The sequence below is a fragment of the Homo sapiens genome, chromosome 8 (genome assembly GCF_000001405.40).
Source record: "Homo sapiens chromosome 8, GRCh38.p14 Primary Assembly".
NCBI classification, from domain to species: Eukaryota; Metazoa; Chordata; class Mammalia; order Primates; family Hominidae; genus Homo; species Homo sapiens.
In genome coordinates this window covers 86946180-86969429 of record NC_000008.11, presented here as the reverse complement: position 1 = coordinate 86969429, position 23250 = coordinate 86946180, and the positions used below count along the sequence as shown (strand labels likewise).

General features: G+C 40.0%; 1 protein-coding gene across 4 annotated transcripts in view, besides 1 other annotated feature; it reads right to left on the bottom strand.

The window, feature by feature from the left end:
• Nucleotides 1-23250, bottom strand: part of CNBD1 (cyclic nucleotide binding domain containing 1) — a 562238-nt gene that overhangs the window by 459223 nt on the left and 79765 nt on the right. The window lies entirely within an intron of this gene.
• Nucleotides 376-877: an enhancer, noted in NCBI's record as "NANOG hESC enhancer chr8:87980781-87981282 (GRCh37/hg19 assembly coordinates)". NCBI's record gives its function as "activates a minimal SCP1, AML or CMV promoter by ChIP-STARR-seq in naive H9 embryonic stem cells {active_cell/tissue: H9 hESC(naive)}" and the evidence as "EXISTENCE:reporter gene assay evidence [ECO:0000049][PMID:30033119]".

The following is a 23250-nucleotide window of genomic DNA, read 5'->3' as shown; positions in this document are numbered from 1 at the left end:
ACTGGTAGTGGTTTTCAAAGAAGGTTCTGAAGGAGTGTTTATAAAGACACTGCAAAAAATGGGGAAATAACAGAATAGAAAAGTTTACAAATTTCATCTCTTCAATCAAAATATCTGCGTTCTTATTTGTTTAATGTATTATTTATCTGTGGAAAAGTTGTTTTTAAATGAGCTTTATAGTTAGATTTTAAAAAACACAATAAGACTCAATAAATACAGTTAACATAAAGCAAACATAACATTTAAAAGAAAATGAGAAAATGCAGAGAAAAAAAACAGTAAATAAGTTGTGAAAGGAAAATAAATCTTGGGACCCCAAACTCACTTAAACCAAAGGAAAATTCGAGCTGGGAACTGGATCACACAAAACTGTCTCCCATTTTGTTCCTAAATAAGATGGCTACAAAAATAAAAAGCTACATACTTCCCTCACAATTTGCCCACAAGAAAATTCCTTGTGGGCTCCAAGATCTCTACCCTCAAACAGTTCTGCTGAATTTCACCTTGTCAATGTAAATTGATAGCTTATCTTCACAGGTGCAGGACAAAAGATAGAACTCAAAGTCATTCCTCCACTCACCTGAGATAAATGCGTATCTGATTGCTTCCTCTGCCCTATTGTCTATGTTGTCTTACAAAAAATGCAGATTCACTAAGCCACACTAAGTTATGAGTAACTATTTCCTCTACCACCCTCTCACAGGAAAACTGTATATTAAGTGAAAGGCTGATCAAAGACTCAAAAGGATGCAACCATTCTGTCCTTTTATCTACTGAATCTTTTAAAAAATATTTCTCTTCCCCAAATATCTGCCCTTCTCCTTTGAATACTGAGGCCTTCAAAATCATCTTTGGAGAAAGGCATAGACCTGCCTCCCTGGTGCACGTCCTTAACTTTGGCGGATAAACCTCCTAAAATGATTGAGAGTTGCCTTAGTCGTTCTCTTTGATTTACAAAGTAAAATTCAGATTTTGATTGTCTTGTCTCTAAAAGAGAAAATACATTTTTATTCAGTGTTTACTCTTTCTTTAGGTATTAGAAACTCCAGAGGACCCACTCATGCTTGAGCAAGGGTGGGGGCAATTCACATTTTTGTGAATTTTACCCCCAGAACCTTATCAGGCCCTCATGATGAGTATAGGAGAAAAATCCTTTCAAGCTTCCAACCGGGTGAGTGGTAAAAAACAAAACAAAACAAAAAAATGGTTTGAAATAACCCAGAGCAATACGGTTTTCTTAACAAGGTGTGTCCTCAAAATAAACTATTTTACAAAAGCCTAACAGAATAGGGTTTTGTCAGACGAGCCAAATCCACCAGGAGGAAGGCAAATGCTCAACTTCAACCCACTCTAGCCATTCTGTCCCACCTAAGGGGAGGGGGAAAAATACTCAGAAGCACATGTAACATTCCCAGTCCAGGCCCACAAGCTCACCAAAAACTGAGACTTAATCACAGGGCTATAAAACACTTTCTTTCTCCCTACACCTTACCGCTATTATCAAAGGCCTATTTACTGCAGTTTCTTTTACCCAGTATCTCAATATCTACCTTTCAACAAAAAATTACAGAGCTACTAGCAGGCAAAAACAACAACAACAAAACTGCAGGTTAAAAAAAAAAAAAAAACTGAACAAGCAACGGATTCAGAGTGAGATATGACAGGAATGTTGGAATTACCAGACCAGGAATCTTTTTAAACTATGATTACTATGCTAATGGCCTTATTAAAAAGAGTAGGCAACATGCAAGAACAGATGGAAAATATAAGAAGTGATAAAATTCTGAGAAAGAATTTAAAAAATGTTAGAAATAAACACTGTAAAAGAAAGAATGCTTTTGATGGTCTCATTAGCAGACAGCTGAGGAAAGAATCTCTGAGATAGAAGACATTGATGGCAGAAGACATGACACTGGCTGCAGAAGGGAGGCTCAGTTGGTGCTGCACACTCCATGAAGCCAGTGGGAGCCCCGCCCCTTCTGAGTTGGGACCAGAGCTCCCGGGTTGCACCCAAACCACAGCTGCAAACCCAAGTCTCCTGCTTTACAGAGCAGACAGGAGCCTGGCCCTCCTGGGCAGGACTATAGCCATCCAAACTGCAGCTGTGTATCCGAGCCTTCTTGTGCTCTTTGGGTAGGGCCCGCAGCAAGCAAGATCTGCCTTCCTGGGTGTGGCTTCAGCCACCCTCCTAGGCACAGGACCAGGTGTCTCTGCAGCTTATACCCTTGGAAGCCCCAGGAAGGACCCCCCACACGCACTTTTTCTGCAGGCTCAAGGGTGTCTGGTCTGGCTGCCTGGCCTCTCTCCACTCCTGGTGAGAGGTGAAGCCGGGTGGGCTTCTGGGTCAGGTGGGGACTTGGAGAACTTTTCTGTCTAGCTAAGGATTGTAAATGCACCAATCAGTGCTCTGTGTCTAGCTAAAGGTTTGTAAATACACCAATCAGCACTCTGTAAAACGGACCAATCAGCACTCTGTAAAATGGACTGATCAGCTCTCTGTAAGATGGACCAATCAGCAAGATGTGCGTGGGGCCAAATAAGGGAATAAAAGCAGACCACACAAGCCAGCAACAGCAACCCCCTAGGGTCCTCTTCCATGCTGTGGAAGCTTTGTTCTTTTGCTCTTCTCAAAAACTCTTGCTGCTGCTCACTCTTTCGGTCTGCACTACCTTTATGAGCTGTAACACTCACCACAAACGTCTGCAGCTTCACTCCTGAAGCTAGCAAGACCACAAACCTATCCGGAGGAACTAACAACTCCAGACGCGCCACCTTTAAGAGCTGTAACACTCACCGCAAAGGTCTGCAGCTTCAGTCCTGAAGCCAGTGAGACGATGAACCCACCGGGAGGAATGAACAACTCTGGATGTGCCACCTTTAAGAGCTGTAACACTCACTGCAAAGGTCTGCGGCTTCACCTCTGAAGTCAGCAAGAACCCACCAGAAGGAAGAAAGTCCAGACACATCTGAACATCTGAAGGAATAAACTCCGGATACACCATCTTTAAGAACTGTAACACTCACCACAAGGGTCCACGGCTTCATTCTTGAAGTCAGTGAGACCAAGAACCGACCGGAAGCAACCAATTCCGGACACACCAGCACCCGCTCCAGTCTTGGAGTGGGAGTTGGGGAAGAGCCCCTGGGCCATGACTGGCACCAGGAGGCTGATTAATTCCTGGCCTGGCCCCTGGAGGCAGATTGATTCCTGGGTAGAAGGGGGCAGGTTCCCAGTGAACCCCCACCTTCAGGCCAAGGAGGTCCCGAAGGCTGGGGGCCAGACTGCTGGTCCTGCAGACCAGAGTGGGGACTCATTATGGCTCTTCTGGGCCCACCCATGGCCAACCATGGACCAATCAGCAGGCACTTCCTCCCCTTTGAGGTCCATAAAAGCCCTGGGCTCAGCCAGAGAAGGGCAGAGGACAACCAGAGGATGAAGAAGGCAGAGACAGGACAGGAGGACCAGCTGCAGAGAGGAGGTACCCTCTCTGCTGATAGCTGGAGACAATGGGATGACCACAAGCAGAGAGAAGCCACCCTCTCCAGGGCCTCCTCTCTGTTGAGAACTGAAGGCTCCACGGATGATCTGCCTATGAGAGGAGCTACCTGCTGCAGGTCTCCTCTGAGCTGTTGGAACACTCAATAAAGCTCATCTTCATCTTGTTCACCCTTCGCTTGTCTTCATACCTCTTTCTTCCTGCATACAGAACAAGAAGTCAGGCAAAGCCACCCGCAGCCACAGAGGTTTCCGGCCAGAAAATCCACCCCCCAAAGATCCCGTAACATTTTGAGGGCTCATCTGCAGGAAGGGTGAGTAAAAGTGAATTTGCTTTCTGTCCTTTTTTTTTGGAGTCTCTAAACTCCATAATAGCCAAAATGAAGAAAAAACACTGGACTCTTAGCCAGTTAAAAATGACTAGCATGGTTGCCAGACTTAAGGAGGACAGGCTTGCTGGGGAGGACACTGTTAATCCCCCATCACTCTCTGGTGTTGGGAATGTTGGTTTTGTTCCAACCCAGTTTCACTTCATGGAGGTCTAGCAGTCACTTGGGACTGGATGGAGGTCCTGGAGCAACTGAGAGTATCTGGCTGAGGCTACACCTTGGTGTTATCCAAAGGCCCCTGGACTAATTCCAATCCCTGACTGCCCATTAGGGTGTCCGCGCTAGGACCTTAGTCTTTCCTATTATTGTTTCTTTCTTTTTTCTCATGCTGTCATGGTTCTTCTTTTATATACAATATTAAAATGTTAAGAATGTTGCCAAACAAAGATACTACTGTGTAGAATGAGCATTTGGCTTAGTCATTGAAAGTATATAATATAAGGTTAAGAGTAGCACAGACAAAGAAAAGTATGTCTTGGTATCTGTATGTAAACTTGTGGTAAAAATGTTCTTGTAATTTACTTGGTTGACAACTTAGGTCTAAGCACCTTGAGGCACAGAAAAGAAGCATTGCCTCAAGAAGAAAGCTTTTCCATAAACACGAGGGCAAATAGTCCAACGTCCCTTATGTGAAGGGACCTTGGACTATTTTTCTTTGCCTTGTAGTGTAACCCAGATCTTTGCCAACGTTGTGGGATTGATTCAGCCTTCCTAGTGACCATCTCAGGAGAGGCTGCAAGGGTCAATCCCAGGGAACTGGGGAAACAAACCCCAGTGGTACCTTCAGCAGGGGAATCAGCTCCCTTCACTCCTCCCTATCCAGGTTCTCTTCCAAGCTTGCCTCATCTTAGAAGTCATTTTAGGCAGGTCCCAGTCTCACTCCTGCTCCTACAACAGATGTGTGGTAAACACGGTCCCATTTAGATTCGGGTCCCCTTTTCTCTTCAGGGCTTACAGCAAATTAAGGGGGATCCAAGCAGGTTTTCAGATGGCCCTGACAGGCATATATTGGCCTTCCAGAACTTAACCTAACTATTTGAACTCTCATGGAAGGATGTCATGTTACTTTTGCATCAAACCCTGACCACTGCTGAAAAGCAGGCCACCCTGCAAGTGGCAGAGAATTTTTAGGATAAGCTTTACATCTTATATAGGACCAGGGAAGGGGATGAGCCTTATCTAGTTGGAAGAATAGCAGTACCATTGGAGAACACTAAATGGGACCCCAATGATGAAACGGGAGAATGGAAAAGGAAGCCCTTACAGGTGTGCATATTGGATGGCTTGCAAGGGACTGGGACTAGACCTCTTGATTGCACTGGGCTATCCATGGTAGACCAGGGATTGGATGAGAGTCCCACTGCCTTCCTCAGAAATCTAAGAGGGGACTTCAGCCCCTGATATCAGGAGGAAGCTACAGAAACAGGCCATACGACCAGAGAGTACTATAGAGGACCTCTGGAAGTGGCCACCTTGGCCTTTTAAAATAGGATTGGGAGGCCCAAGAGAGGGAAGGAGACACAAGAAAAAGACAGAGGCTCTAATAACCAACTTGCAGGCTCACAAACCTCAGAGTCCTCACAATGCACCTGTCAACTGCTGCAAATGTAGATCATTGGAGGGCAGACTGTCCCTGAGACATGGGTGGCAAGGTCCAGATTGCCATCTCCCAAATGGTGCAGCAGGACTGACTGGTCCCAGGGTTCCTTTCGTTGACTCTGGTGGTTCAGACTGTCATTGCCATCCAGGAGCTAGGGTGATTCTAGGGATCAAGGAAAGGAGGTTGGACCTCCTCCTGGACTTGAGCAGGCCTTTCAGTTCTCTTCTCCAACCTAGGTCCGCCTCCTCTCTTAGCATGACCGTGAAGGGCATCTCAGGAAAAACCCAATCTCTTAGTTGTCACCTTCGTAGGCCAGGTCCCCAGTTACTGGGACTCCCTTTCTCTCTCCCTTGTTTGAGGAGGACTTGGCCCCACAGCTTCACCTACTTGTGATAGGGAGGCAATGGTAGAGCAGCCCCTGCCAGTTGCTAGCTGCAATTTGGCAAGGGCTATCTGGGACCAATTTAATGGGTTCATACACCCCCCTGAGGCACCTTTTTCTCCGAAGCTTCAGTTTGAAGCCCTGGAATGGAACAATAGACCTGAGGCAGATGACAGCGGGAGTCGAAGGGCACAGTGCAGGTGAGCATGACTAATTCCTGACAATTAGGCCTCCTGCTTCATGGATGGGAATATCATGCTTACATACATGGCATAGATAGGGTCTAGGGAACTCAAATGTGACGGAGAGTGGGAGGCTTAGGCTCTGCTCAGGTGCATGCCTGTCAGCTATGCCTCCAACTTCATGGGTGAAGGTTGCACTTGCACCCATGGTCAGCACCTGCACAGGTCACCGGAACTCAGGGATATAAGGTCGAAATAATTAAGAGGGATGCCTTTTCTCCCTGTCACATACCCCGGGTATTCGCTAGGAAGAGAGAGGAACAAAGGGAAGCCTTTTACTCCTCTTTCCAGATGGGTAACCAGTGAATCATTTTCAGCCTGCACTCCTCAAGTGTATCCTAAATCACTGGACTCCTTTGACCCTCAGGCTGGAGAAAGAAAATAGCTTTTTCCCCTTCACAGGACTCCAGGGTCAAAGCACTCCATGTCTCAGGGGAAGGGAACCCAGAAGCCTGACATGCCAGCAAAAGGGTAAAGGTTCTTGCCAGTCAGATTTCTAGCTTCTGTTTTGTTTTTTGTTTTTTGTGTTTTTTTTGAGATGGAGTCTTGCTCTGTTGCCCAGGCTGGAGTGTCGTGGCACCATCTCAGCTCACTGCAAGCTCTTCCTCCCAGGTTCATGCCATTCTCCTGCCTCAGCCTCTCGAATAGCTGGGACTACAGGCACCTGCCATCACACCCAGCTAAGTTTTTTGTATTTTTAGTAGAGACGGTGTTTCACCGTGTTAGCCAGGATGGTCTTGATCTCCTGACCTCGTGATGTGCCCGCCTCAGCCTCCCAAAGTGCTGGGATTACAGGTGTAAGCCACTGTGCCCGGCCTCTGACTTCTCTTTCTCTGTGCAAACTGGTAGCAGGAAGGATAAAAATCACTGTATTCTCTGCCCCTCCAAGAATTCAAATGGCCATTTGGCATGGCTAAAGTCAGGAAATAAGAGATTTAAAATGACTTTAAAAAGGGGTGCTATAGTTAAAAGTTAGCTTATTTAAAAGTAGATGTCCATGGTTATCAAAGCTATAGGTATATTTAAAAGGCCTGTATGTCTTTTCTCATGGATCTTCTTTTTCTGGAAAAAGGTTTTATCAGTCGACTGAATTAGTCTCCATTTTTGTCTTACCATTCTTATTGCACACATGAAGGGCCCCAAGATAACCTCTGAAGTCCTGGGACTTCTTGGGAAAACAAAGGAGGCATCATTGATTCATTTTTGAAAAAAACCTCTGTTTTCCTCATGGAGTGCCAGGGATTACAAGTGGATGTATCCCTCTCAAAATCTGTTCTTGTCTTCCAGCTATTCCTACTTATTAGGCCATAGAACCTGCCTGCATGTTTTCCTAGACCTGGTTCTTGAAGTGCTCCACCCCTAGGGTTAGCAATGCAAATAGGAGATTGGCACATGAAAAATCTTACAAGTACTGAATCTCCTTCAGTCTGTGTAGTTACACATGTGTTATGTGTATGATGTTTATATAAAAGAGCTCTGATTGGCTTAAAGAAAATCAAGTGCTTAGATCAACTATTTTGAAAGAAAAATAAAGCTGCAATGCCTTTTACTTCATGGCTGTCACTCTGGTGGAACAGGAAGCCTGAGAAAGCATGGCCTTACAAAGATCGTGGTAGGCCATTGCCTCTGGAGGGAGAAGACAAAGCAGCACTAGTGCCTACCTAAGGTCAGAGACATCTGACACTCTAAGGTTGGATCCCACAGGGGGACATCCCAGGGGATCCTCTGGACCTCCACCTCTCCAAACGGGATGCCCTTGGCAGAGGTTCTGAGGTCTAGTACTAAACCCTCCTTAGAATTTTCTCTCACAGTTACAATACTGTTTGGCCCCAATATTGTATGGAATCTGGAGTTTACTGTTGAATAGGAAAGTAAGATTGCATTGCATGTATCCAGGGTTTTGTGCTGCTGTTCTAAGCAGGGGGCCTGTTTTAACTTGTGATGTTCTCCTTTGGTGCTGTTTGGCCCCAGTGTTCTTTGGAGTCTGGGGAAGTTTGGCTTTTAAAAATCAAACTGTCATAGAAACCAATTTACCTGAAATTTTGGTTCACAGCCTTCATTGGATTGTCTATTGGGGCAAACAAAGTAAAACTGGTAAGCTTGTAGTGCTATCTTATGGCTAGGGTTCCAAGCTATTGGATCTTCATTTGTGTATGTATACATGTCTAGATGTGTTTATTTGTACACTTACTGTCATATGTTATAACAACATATATTGCTATATATAAACAGGCTAGCTTTAAAATTATTGGTAAAATAAAAGTAGAAATGTCTTCAAAATGTAGACATGGTCTAAATTATGCAAGTCAGAAACTAGGTTGGTGAAAGGCTTTAAGGTCATAAACTGCTTTGGCTTTTGAAAATTGTTCTGTTTGTTAGTTTTCCTTCTAACAGTCAGGACCCTGAGCTGCAGGTCTGTTGGAGTTTGCTGGAGGTCCACTCCACAACCTGTTTGCCTGGGTATCACCAGCGGAGACTGCAGAACAGCAAATATTGCAGAATGGAAGATGTTGCTGCCTGATCCTTCCTCTGGAAGCTTCGTCTCAGAGGGGCATCCAGCTGTATGAGGTGTCACTTGGCCCCCACTGGGAGATGTCTCCCAGTTAGGCTACTCAGGGATCAGGGACCCACTTGAGGAGGCAGTCTGTCCATTCTCAGATCTCCAGCTCCGTGCTGGGAGAACCACTACTCTGTTCAAAGCTGTCAGACAGGGACGTTTAAGTCTGCAGAAGTTTCTGCTGTCTTTTGTTCAGCTATGCACTGCCCCGAGAGGTGGAGTCTACAGAGGTAGGCAGGCTTCCTTGAGCTGAGGTGGGCTCCACCCAGTTCAAGCTTCCCGGCCACTTTGTTTACCTACTCAAGCCTCAGTGACAGTGGACGCCCCTCCCCCAGCCTCACTGCCACCTTGCAGTTCGATCTCAGACTGCTGTGCTAGCAGTGAGTGAGGCTCTGTGGGTGTGGGACCCTCTGAGCCAGGAGCGGGATATAATCTCCTGGTGTGCCGTTTGCTAAGACTCTTGGAAAAGTGCAGTATTAGAGTGGGAGTGTCCTGATTTTCCAGGTACTATCTGTCATGGCTTCCCTTGGCTAGTAAAGGGAATTCCCTGACCCCTTGTGCTTCCTGGGTGAGGCGATGCCCCACCCTGCTTTGGCTCACACTCTGTGGGCTGCACCCACTATCCGACAAGCTCCAGTGAGATGAACCTGGTACCTCAGTTGGAAATGCACAAATCACCCATCTTGTGCATTGCTTACACTGGGAGCTGTAGACTGGAGCTGTTCCCATTTGGCCACATCGGTAGGTCACCATCATCAAAGACCAAAGGTAGATAAAACAACAACGATGGGGAGAAACCAGAGAAGAAAAGCTGAAAATTCTGAAAATCAGAGCCCCTCTTCTCTCCAAAGGAACAAAGCTCCTCGCCAACAACGGAACACAGCTAGATGGAGAATGACTTTGACGAGTGGAGAGAAGAAGGCTTCAGATGATCAGTAATAACAAACTTCTCTGAGCTAAAGGAGGATGTTTGAGCCCATCGCAAGGAAGCTAAAAACCTTGAAAAAAGATTAGATGAATGGCTAACTAGAATAAACAGCATAGAGAAGACCTTAAATGACCTGATGGAGCTGAAAACCATGGCACAAGAACTATGTGATGCATGCACAAGCTTTAGTAGCCGATTCAATCAAGTGGAAGAAAGGGTATCAGTGACTGAAGATCAAATCAATGAAATGAAGTGAGAAGGGAACTTTAGAGAAAAGAGAATAAAAAGAAATGAAGAAAGCCTCCAAGAAATATGGGACTATGTGAAAAGACCAAATCTACATCTCATTGGTGTACCTGAAAGTGACGGGGAGAATGGAACCAAGCTGGAAAACACTCTTCAGGATATTATTGAGGAGAACTTCCTCAACCTAGCAAGGCAGGCCAACAATCAAATTCAGGAAATACAGAGAACGCCATGAAGATATTCACTAAGAAGAACAACTCCAAGACATATAATTGTCAGATTCACCAAAATTGAAATGAAGGAAAAAATGTTAAGGGCAGCCAGAGAGAAAGGTTGGGTTACCCACAAAGGGAAGCCCATCAGACTAACAGTGGATCTCTTGGCAGAAACTGTACAAGCCATAAGAGAGTGGAGGCCAATATTCAACATTCTTAAAGAAAAGAATTTTCAACCCAGAATTTCATATCCAGTCAAAATAAGCTTCATAAGTGAAGGAGAAATAAAATCCTTTAGAGACAAACAAATGCAGAGAGATTCTGTCACCACCAGGCCTGCTTTACAAGAACTCCTGGAGGAAGAACTAAACATGGAAAAGAACAACCGGTACCAGCCACTGCAAAAACATGCCAAATTGTAAAGACCATTGACACTAGGAACAAACTGCATCAACTAATGAGTAAAATAACCAACTAATGAGTAAAGTAACCAGCTAATATCATAATGACAGGATCAAATTCACACATAACAATATTAATCTTAAATGTAAATGGGCTAAATGCTCCAAATAAAAGACACATACTGACAAATTGGATAAAGAGTCAAGACCTATCAGTGTGCTGTATTCAGGAGACCCATCTCATGTGCAGAGACACACATAGGCTGAAAATAAAGGGATGGGGGAAGATTTACCAAGGAAATGGAAAACAAAAAAAAGCAGGGGTTGCAATCCTAGTCTCTGATAAAACAGACTTTAAACCAATAAAGACCAAAAGAGACAAAGAAGGCCGTTACCTAATGGTAAAGAGATCAATTCAACAAGAAGAGCTAACTACCCTAAATATATATGCACCCAATACAGGAGCACCCAGATTCATAAAGCAAGTCCCTAGAGACCAACAAAGAGACTTAGACTCCCACACAATAATAATGGGAGACTTTAACACCCAACTGTCAACATTAAACAGACAACAAGACAGGAAGTTAATGTGGATATCCAGGAATTGAACTCAGCTCTGCAATGAGGACCTAATAGACACCTACAGAACTCTCCATGCCAAATCAACAGAATATACACTCTTTTCTCAGCAGCACATCTGACCTATTCCAAAATTGACCACATAGTAGGAAGTAAAGCACTCCTCAGCAAATGTAAAAGAACAGAAATTATAACAAACTGTCTCTCAGACCACAATGCAATCAAACTAGAACTCAGGATTAAGAAACTCACTCAAAACCACTTAACTACCTGGAAACTGAACAACCTGCTCCTGAATGACTACTGGGTACATAATGAAATGAAGGCAGAAATAAAGATATTCTTTGAAACTAATGTGAACAAAGACACAAATACCAGAATCTCTAGGACACATTTAAAGCAGTGTGTAGAGGGAAATTTATAGCACTAAATGCGCACAAGAGAAAGCAGGAAAGATCTAAAATTGACACCCTAACTTCACAATTAAAAGAACTAGAGAAGCAAGGGCAAACACATTCAAAAGCTAGCAGAAGGTAAGAAATAACTAAGATCAGAGCAAAACTGAAGGAGATAGAGACACAAAAAAATCCTACAAAAAATCGATGAACCCAGAGCTGGTTTTTTGAAAAGATCAACAAAATTGATAGACTGCTAGAAAAACTAATAAAGAAGAAAAGAGAGAAGAATCAAATAGCTGCAATAAAAAATGATAAAGGGGATATCACCACCAATCCCACAGAAATACAAACTACCATCAGAGAATACTATAAACACCTCCATGCAAATAAACTAGAAAATCTAGAAGAAATGGATAAATTTCTGGACACATACACCCTCCCAAGACTAAACCAGGAAGAAGTTGAATCCCTGAATAGACCAATAACAGGATCTGAAATTGAGGCAATAATTAATAGCCTACCAACCAAAAAAAGTCCAGGACCAGCTGGATTCACAGCCGAATTCTACCAGAGGTACAAAGAGGAGCTGGTACCATTCCTTCTGAAATGCTTCCAATCAATAGAAAAAGAGGGAATCCTCCCTAACTCATTTTATGAGGCCAGCATCATCCTGATACCAAAGCCTGGCAGAGACACAACAAAAAAAACATAATTTTAGATCAATATCCCTGATGAACATCGATGCAAAAATCTTCAGTAAAATACTGGCAAACTGAATCCAGCAGCTCATCAAAAAGCTTATCCACCACAATCAAGTTGGCTTCATCCCTGGGATGCAAGGCTAGTTCAACATACAGCAATCAATAAACGTAATCCATCATATAAACAGAACCAAAGACAAAACACACGATTATTTCAACAGATGCAGAAAAAGCCTTTGGTGAAATTCAACAGCCCTTCATGCTAAAAACTCTCAATAAACTAGGTATTGATGGGACATATCTCAAAATAATAAGAGCTATTTATGACAGACCCACAGCCAATATCATACTGAATGGGCAAAAACTGGAAGCATTGCCTTTGAAAACTGGCACAAGACAGGGATGCCCTCTTTCGCCACTCCTGTTCAACAGAGTGTTGGAAGTTCTGGCTAGGGCAATCAGGCAGGAGAAAGAAATAGAGGGTATTCAATTAGGAAAAGAGGAAGTCAAATTGTCCCTGTTTGCAGATGACATGATTGTATATTTATAAAAACCCATCATCTCAGCCCAAAATCTCCTTAAGCTGATAAGTCACTTCAGCAAAGTCTCAGGATACCAAATCAATGTGCAAAAATCACAAGCATTCCTATACACCAATAACAGAAAAACAGAGCCAAATCATGAATGAACTCCCATTCACAATTGCTTCAAAGGGAATAAAATACCTAGGAATCCAACTTACAAGGGATATGAAGGACATCTTCAAGGAGAACTACAAACCACTGCTCAGTGAAATAAAAAAGGACACAAACAAATAGAAGAACATTCCATGCTCATGGATAGAAAGAATCAATGTCGTGAAAATGGTCATACTGCCCAAGGTAATTTATAGATTCAATGCCATCCCCATCAAGCTACCAATGACTTTCTTCACAGAATTGGAAAAAACTACTTTAAAGTTGATATGGAACCAAAAAAGAGCACACATAGCCAAGACAATCCTAAGCCAAAAGAACAAAGCTGGAGGCATCATGCTACCTGACTTCAAACTATACTACAAGGCTACAGTAACCAAAACAGCATGGTACTGGTACCAAAACAGAGATATAGATCAATGGAACAGAACAGAGCCCTCAGAAATAACTCCGCATATCTACAACTATCTGATCTTTGACGAACCTGAGAAAAACAAGCAATGGGGAAAGGATTCCCTATTTAATAAATGGTGCTGGGAAAACCGGCTAGCCATATGTAGAAAGCTGAAACTGGATCCCTTCCTTACACCTTATACAAAAATTAATTCAAGATGGATTAAAGACTTACATGTTAGACCTAAAACCATAAAAACCCTAGAAGAAAACCTAGGCAATACCATTCAGGATATAGGCATGGGCAAGGACTTCATGACTAAAACACCAAAAGCAATGGCAACAAAAGCCAAAACTGACAAATGGGATCCAATTAAACTAAAGAGCTTCTGCACAGCAAAAGAAACTACCATCAGTGCGAACAGGCAACCTACAGAACAAGAGACAATTTTTACAAACTACCCATCTGACAAAGGGTTAACATGCAGAATCTACATAGAACTTTGAATTTACAAGGAAAAATCAAACAACCCCATCAAAAAGTGGGCAAAGGATATGAAGAGACACTTCTCAAAAGAAGATATTTATGCAGCCAACAGACATATGAAAAACTGCTCATCATCACTGGCCATTAGAGAAATGCAAATCAAAACCACAATGAGATACCATCTCACATCAGTTAGAATGGCAATCATTAACAAGTCAGGAAACAACAGGTGCTGGAGAGGATGTGGAGAAATAGGAACACTTTTACACTGTTGGTGGGACTGTAAACTAGTTCAACCATGGTGGAAGACAGTGTGGCTATTCCTCAGGGATCTAGAACTAGAAATACCATTTGACCCAGGCATCCCATTACTGGGTATATACCCAAAGGATTATCAATCATGCTGCTATAAAGACACATGCACACGTATGTTTTTTGGGGCACTATTCACAATAGCAAAGACTTGGAACCATCCCAAATGTCCATCAATGATATACTGGATTAAGAAAATGTAGCACATATACACCATGAATACTATGCAGCCATAAAAAATGATGAGTTCATGTCCTTTGTAGGGACGTGGATGAAGCTGGAAACCATCATTCTCAGCAAACTATTGCAAGGACAGAACACCAAACACCGCATGTTCTCACTCATCGGTGGGAAATGAACAATGAGAACACTTGGACACAGGGTGGGGAACATCACACACTGGGGCCTGTCATGGAGTGGGGGGAGGGGGGAGGGATTGCATTAGGAGATATACCTAATGTAAATGACAAGTTAATGGGTGCAGCACACCAACATGGCACATATATACATATGTAACAAACCTGCACGTTGTGCACATGTACCCTATAACTTAAAGTATAATTAAAGAAAAAGAAGAAAATTGTTCAACTTTCCTGCTTTACAGTTTGGTAAGGCCTGGGGACATATGCCATGCTCCTAGCTATGCTGAAAATAGTCAGACCTTATCTGCATCTAAGTATGTAACTAAAATAACTTACCAGGTATTTCAAAATTAAAAATTGCTAAGAGCTACCATTATAACATGTAGTGGAGTCTACTGAAAATAGATTTACATACAAAGTGTGTAAGGAGAGTAAAATGTGTCTTTAGTAAAAGAATATAAGAACACGGAATGTAAATTTTCATCTCGTTCAGAGGATTAAAGGATTGTTTTAAATTAGATAAGATAAAGCTAATGGCTAAAACAAGTTATGCAAGGTTTGTAAAAATTGATCTTTTAAAGAGAAAATCTGTGTGTGAACATATTGACTAAATTCAAAAGAGTATTATTTGGTTTTTCTGTAAATTGAACATTAAAATAAAAACACAACAAGGTTTTCCTTAGGAACTAATATGCTCTTTAACAAAAACTTATGAAGTGTTATAAAAGATTTATAAGAATCTCAGCTCATGGTCAAACTGATTAAGATTAAATGGATTTGTCTGTAAGGTTTTATTTTTTAAAGAATTGGGGTTGACATTAATAGACTAATGCAAGGGTGAAATGTTGCTTTCTCTTTGTCAAGATTTTCATGCAATGAAAGATTTTTGTTTGCTTTGTGAATAAAATACTGACAAAAGAAGGGAAGGACATGAGATAAATTGTTTGGAAGACTAAGTCTTCCCTTTTAGTGAATAAAGTTTTTCACTTTGAGTCATGATTTAAATGGATGACTTATAATAACCTGAAATCCTATTAAGTGTGTTAAGCCTATAAAGCTTCGAAATTGTCTTTCCTAATCCCTAGCATTTCAATGCTAAAGAGAGCCCCTGGAGTGTCCAAAGGAGTGATAAACAGGATTATTTAACATGTTTAGTTACATAGGATTTTTTTATTTTTTTGAGACAGAGTCTCGCTCTGTCACCTAGGCTGGAGTGCAGTAGCACGATCTTGGCTCACTGCAACCTCCACCTCCTGGGTTCAAGTGATTTTTCCGCCTCAGCCTCCTGAGTAGCTGGGATTACAGGCACCCACCATCATGCCTGGCTAATTTTTGTATTGTTGTAGAGACAGGGGTCACACTATGTTGGCCAGGCTAGTCTTGAACTCCTGATCTCAGGCGATCCACCCACCTCGGCCTCCCAAAGTGCTGGGATTACAGGCATGAGCCACCGTGCTCGGCCTGCATAGGATTGTTGGAGTAAGGTGGTGTTTGATCTTCAGGCCATATTTTAGTGAAAAATGTTAAAATGTGTTCCAAAATTGTACGGGATTTCTAGAGTTCTGATGTCTGAGGTTGTGTTATCAATCATAATTAGGGTTATTGTGTTAGGTCATTGTAAATCACAGAGGTGACCAAATTTCTTTGTTAATTGTGTTTTTCACTGTGACTACCATAGGACATTTTGACATTCATAGACAATTATTATCTATACCTAATGATACAACCATTTTGAAAAACAGTTTGGCAGTTGCTTCAGAAGTTTAACATATGATTAAGTTTTTCCTACCCAATTATTAAGTTGTTTCTTTTCTAAGTATTTACTCAAGAGAGATGAAGGCACATGCTCACACTAAGACTTATAAATAAATGTTCATGGCAGCTTCATTCATAATAGCCACAAATGTTCATCAACATATACTTAGATAAACTATGGTATATTCATACAGTGGATTGCTATTCAGAAAGAAAAAGGAATAACTATTGTTATGCAACACAACATGGATCAAGATCCAAATAATTATGCCGAGTGAAAAACGCTAGACTAAAAAATAATAATACTATTTAATTCCATGTATTAATTAATGCTATTTAATTCCCTCCCAAAATATAAAATAAAGTTTACTGACAGAAAGCAGATAAGTGGTTGCTTGGAACAGAGGGTGGGCACAAGGACACACAAGAGGAAAGAATGACAAAAGTTGCAAGGAAACTCTTGGGAGCAATTTGATTATGTTCATTATCTAAATTGCGGTGATGGTTTATACCACAGATTTACACGTGTCAAAAGTTATCACATCGCACAGTTTATATCACAAATGGTTTATATCACACCTTTATACATGTATCAAAAGTTATCAAACTGCACAGTTTAAAATATACATTTTTATTATATATAAATTATACTTTAATAAAAATGCTTATACATTTAATAACATGTTATATATGATATATAGGTACACACACATATATATTCTTTCTTTTTCATTTGATATTTGTTAAATTTTCACATGACCAGCAAATATATATTGGATAAATATATTAGGTAAAATATTTTTCTGAAAAATTTTATTCTCCATTCCATAAATGGTACTATGTCTATACTGTAATATATCTATATAAAATATAGATAGCTCTGTATATCAGCAGTACATAATTAAAGCACAGTAGAAAATATAGGCAAAATCCACTATCAGATAATTCACACTGTGAACCCGAAATAACTGAGACAGGTCTCAGTCAATTTAGAAAGTTTATTTTGCCAAGGTTAAGGATGCACCTGTGGCACAGCCTCAGGAAGTCTTGACAACATGTGCCCAAAGTGGTCAGGGAACAGCTTGGGTTTTGTATGTTATAGGGAGATATGAGACATCAATCAATATGTGTTAAAATGGACATTGGTTTGGCGCAGAAAAGTAGGACAACTCAAAGTGGGGAGGGGGCTTCCAGGTCATAGGTAGATGGAAGACAAATGGTTATATTATTTTGAATTTCTGATTCCTTTCCAAAGGAAGCAATTAGATATGCATTTATCTCAGTGAGCAAAGGGTTTCTGCTGAGTTCTGTTTGTCCTTTGTCTGCAAGGAATTTCCTTGTGGACCAATTGTGAGGGAGGTATGCAGCTTTTTAATCTTAGTAGCTATCTTTTTTAGGAATACAGTGGAGCAGGTTTGCCCTAAGTACTTCCCAGCTTGATTTTTCCCTTTGGCTTAGTGATTTGGGAATCCCAAGATTTTTTTTTCTTTTCACAACAGCAACGTGAATAAATACAAATAGCTAATAAATGATTAAAGAAAATTTAGCTTAACAAGGAAACAAAGAAAGGCAAATTAAAATAACTGTAAATTAAACAAGATGTCTTTTGTTGTTCTATAAAATTAAAAATAAAATAATTTAAAAGCTAATATTTACTGGTAGGGGCAATATCTTTTTTTTTTTTTTTTTTTTTTTTTTTTTTTTTTTTTTGTGAGACGGAGCCTCGCTCTGTCACCCAGGCTGGAGTGCAGTGGCATGATCTCGGCTCACTGAAACCTCTGCCTCCCAGGTTCAAGTGATTCTCCTGTCTCAGCCTCCAGAATAGCTGGGATTACAGGTGCCCACCACCACACCCAGCTACTTTTAGTAGAGATGGAGTTTCACCACGTGGGCCAGGCTGGTCTTAAGCTCCTAACCTCAGGTGATCTGCCTGCCTCGGCCTCCCAAAGTGCTGGGATTACAAGCATGAGCCACCGTGCCCAGCCTATCTATTATATTCTTGCCAAAACTGAATGTAGCTAAAAAGATCAAGAATAGTTGCATTATCTGTACTTTTACCTGATATTAAATCTATTTTAAGAAAATCATTGTAAATAACTACGAATTTAATAATTTTTCTTTTAGCTTAAGAATCAGCTTCTGTTGCTTTCAAATAAGAATCCTAAGTGCTGAAAACTTAAAAACAAGAATTTACTGTAAAGTTATTAAATTTGTGATATCAAAAAGCAAACAGTAGAAAAGTAATGTTTAATCAGGGATGAAAAAGGGAACATTGCATCTGATACTGCAGAAATTCAAAGGATCATTAGTAGTCACTATGATCCTTTGGAATATATAGAATAAATGAACACAGAATAAATGAACACATAAAATACATTGGAAAATCTAGGAGAAATGAACACACTCCTAGACACATAAAACTTACTAAGATTGAAACAGGAAGAAATCCAAAAACTGAACAGATCAATAATAAGTAAAAAGATCAAATCTGTAATAAAAAGTCTCCCAGTAAAGAAAAGCCCAGGACCTGACTTCACTGCTGAATTATATCAAACATTTAAAGAAGCACTAGTACCAATCCTACTCAAACTATTCTGAAAAACAGGGGACAATGGCACACTTCCAAACTCATTCTCAAAGCCAGTATTACTCTGATACCAAAACCAGACAAAGACACATTAAAAAAAGAAACTACAGGCCAACATCTCTGATGAACACTGCTGTGAAAATCCTCAACAAAATACTAGCAAACTAAACACAACAATGCATTAAAAATATCATTCATCATGACCAAGTGAGACTTATCCCAGGGATGCAAGGGTAGTTCAACATATGCAAATCAATCAATGTGATACATCATATCAACAGAATGAAGGGCAAAAATCATATAATTGTTTTAATTGATACCTAAAAAGCAGTTGATAGGCTGGGCACAGTGGCTCATGCCTGTAATTCCAGCACTTTGGGAGGCTGAGACAGGTGGATCATGAGGTGAGGAGTTCAAGACCAGCCTGGCCAAATGGTGAAACCAATGGTGAAACTGTCTCTACTAAAAATACAAAAATTTGCCAGGCGTGGTGGCACGCACCTGTAATCCCAGCTACTCTGGAAGCTGAGGCAGAGAATTGCTTAAACCCGGGAGGCAGAGGTTGCAGTGAGCTGAGATCACACCACTGCACTCCAGCCTGGGGGACAGAGCGAGACTCCATCTCAAAAAAAAAAAAAAAAAAAAAAAAAAACCCGGGAGGCAGAGGTTGCAGTGAGCTGAGATCACACCACTGCACTCCAGCCTGGGGGACAGAGCGAGACTCCATCTCAAAAAAAAAAAAAAAAAAAAAAAAAAAGCATTTGATGAAGTATAACATCTCTTCATAATAAAAAACCCTCAAAAAACTGGGTATAAAAGGAATACATCTCAACATAATATAAGCTATATATGACAGACCCATGCTGGTACATACTGAATGGGATAAAAAGTGAAGCTTTTTCTCTAAGATCTGGAACATGACAAAGATCTCCACTTTCACCACTGTTAACACAGTACTGGAAGTCCTAGCAAGAGCAATCACACAAAAGAAAAAAAATAAAGGGCATCTAACCTGCAAAAGAAAAAGTCAAATTATTTTTATTTGTAGACAATATGATCTTATATTTGGAAAAACCTAAAGACTCCCCCCTAAAATGATTAGAACTGATGAACAAATTCAGTAAAACTGCAAGATACAAAATCAAAATACAAAAATCAACAATTTGAAAAACAAATCAAAAAAGTAATCCCATTTACTATAGCCACGAATACAATTAAATACCCAGGAATTAACTAATATGTGAAATATATCTATAAAGAAAACTATATAACACTGATGAAAGAAATTGAAGAGGACACCAAAAATGGAAAGATATTCCATGTTCATGTATTAGCAGAATCAATATTGTTAAGATGTCCTTACTACCCAAAGCAATCTACAGATTCAATGCAATCTCTATCAAAATACCAATGGCATTCTTCACAGAAAGAGAAAAAATAATCCTAAAATTTATATGGAACCACAAAAGATCCTGCATAGCTGAAGTTATCCTAAGCAAAAGGAACAAAACCAGAAGAATCACATTACTTGACTTTAAATTATACTACAGAGCTATAGTAAACAAAATGGCATGTTACTGGCATAAAAACAGAAACACAGACCAAAGAAACAGAACAGAGAACCCACAAATAAATCCATATATATACAGTGAGCTCATTTTTGACAACGGTACCAAGAAATACACTGAGGAAAGGACAATCTCTTCAACAAAATGTGCTGGGAAAACTAGATATTCACATGCAGAACAACTAGACCCCTATTTCTCCCCATATACAAAAATCAAATCAAAATGGATTAGAGTCTTAAATCTAAGAACACAAACTATGAAACTACTATGAAACATTGGAAAACTCCAGGACGTTGGTTTGGGCAAAAATTTTCTTCAGTAATAACCCGCAAGCACAGGCAACCAAAGCAAAAATGGACAAATGAGATCACATCAAGTTGTAAAGTTTACGCACAGTGAGGGAAACAATCAACAAAGTGAAGAGACAATCAACAGAATGGGGGAAAATATTTGCAAACTACCCCTCTGACAAGGGATTAATAACCAGAATAGATAAGAAGCTCAAAAAACTCTGTAAGAAAGAATTTAATAATCTGATTTAAAATTGGGCAAAAGATATGAATAGGTGTTTCTCAAAAAAATGACATGCAAATGGCAAATAGGCATATGAAAAGATGTTCAAAATCATTGATCATAAGATAAATGCAAATCAAAACTACAATGAGGTGTCATCTCACTCTAGTTTAAATGGTTTATATCCAAAAGATAGGCAATAACAAATGCTGGTGAGGATGCGGAGAAAAGGGAACCCTTGTATACTGTTGGTGGGAATCTAAATTAGTACAAGAACTGTGAATAACAGTATTGAGGTTCCTCAAAAAACTAAAATTAGAGGTATATGATCCAGCAATCCCACTGCTGTGTATATACCCCAAAGAAAGGAAATCAGTATATTGAAGAGATATCTCTATTCCCACATTTATTGCAGCACTGTTCACAGTAGCCAAGATTTGGAAGCAGCCTAAGTGTCCATCAACAGAAGAATGGATAAAGAAAATGTGGTACATATACACAATGGAGTACCATTCATCCATACGTAATAATGAGATCCTGTTATTTGCAACAACATGGATGGAACTGGAGGTCATTATATTAAATGAAATAAGCCAGGCACAGAAAGACAAACATCACATGGTCTCACTTATTTGTGGGATATAAAAATCAAAACAATTGAACTCATGAACATAGAGTGTAGAAGTATGGTTACCAGAGTCTGGGAAGGGTAGCAGGGTGGTTGGGAGGAGGTAGGGATGGCTAAAAGATACCAAAAAAATAGAATAAATAAGACCCACTATTTGATAGCATAACAGGATGACTATAGTCAATAATTTAATTGTAATTTTAAAATAACTAAAAGAGTATAATTGGAATGTTTGTAACACAAAGGATAAATGCCTGAGGGCACGAACACCCCATTCTCCATGATGTCATTATTATTCATTGTATGCCTGTATCAAAACATCTCATGTGCCCCATAAATATATACATCTACTATGTACCCACAAAAATAAAAAAATAAAAAGTGAAAAGTAGTGTTTGGAAACTTTTAACAAGAATATGGTAATATTATCAGTTTACAAAAAAATGAAATTGAGCATGAATGCTCCAGGGAAGAATTTTTGTCCAACGTAGATTTCACATCAGTCTAGTTGACAAATATCTAATGAAGAAGAAAGAACATTTAACCATACACTGATGGACCTTGCTGTACAATGAGCCCAATTTAGTGGCTCATTTGGAAACCAAATTTTATGTAAGCCATCAAATAGGTAGAGTCACACACACATTTCCTCAGAACCACAAATGGATACTGCAAACGTACTAAGGACATCTGACCACATTTTCATCTCTTTAGCCAAACCAAGCCTATTATAATATCACCTTTGAATATTAAACCAACTAAACCACCATTTTCTTAGACTAAATGTTCAGTGGATGAAAGAGGAGAGACAAATAAGGAATTATGTTCCAGGTTTTTAAAGACTGCCAAGTTGTTTATTACTTCTCTGCAGATAGACCCAGGGTTTGACTGAGAACAGTGACCATGCAGACCCACACTCTACTAGAAACAACCAAATCTTGCCAAAATTTTCTAGATATTGTATGACTTGAGCCTGGACTTAATTATCTATGTTTCTCTAAAATGGTTCTTCATATCATGAGGTAAATCCTCGAGTACAAAAGCATTCTGCTCATACATATAAAACACAATTGCATGTATGTGAAACTAAGTCATTTTGATAAATGTAGCACTACCATTCAAGATGACTTTAATACTCTATAAGAATAACTGCATGAGGAAGGCAAGTAATATTTTTGTACAGTCAGACATTAAATCTTTTAATGAAATCATGGATTTTTGTGATAGTTCAACAGATAGTTGTTACAAGAAATATTCTTAAAAGACTTTGTGTTCCATTGTTATTAAATCTGTAATACAACACATGATAAAAATTCCCAATAGAGTCATAAGATTCTCAAGTCTCACTGCATGACAAGTACGTTCTGTTACACTTATAAACCTAGTATTAATAAGAAAGAACTTACACTAAATACTTACTAAGACATTTCTATGGAAAAATAAGAGGCAAAACTATGTCACCGAAAACAAGAAGCCTCAGCTTTAATAGTCACATCTATGCTGAAATAATACATCTATACAGTGAAAAAATAATTTTTATAAGAAATATTATAATAGATGTTTGCTTATGTCTAAACAATAGAACAAAGGTATCAAGATACAATTGTTTTTGAATACTACTTAATATATGATCAAATAGTAGTTTCTTAAACTGCTGTATGAAAATTTTCCGGGCAACTTTGTAAACTAATGCAAATATATGATAAAGAAGTAATAGCTGTTATTTATTCATAAGTTGTAGGAGAAATTTGAATATTCTTTCTTGAATATATTAAAAATGAAACACATTATTATTCAGAGACACAAGGAACCCCTT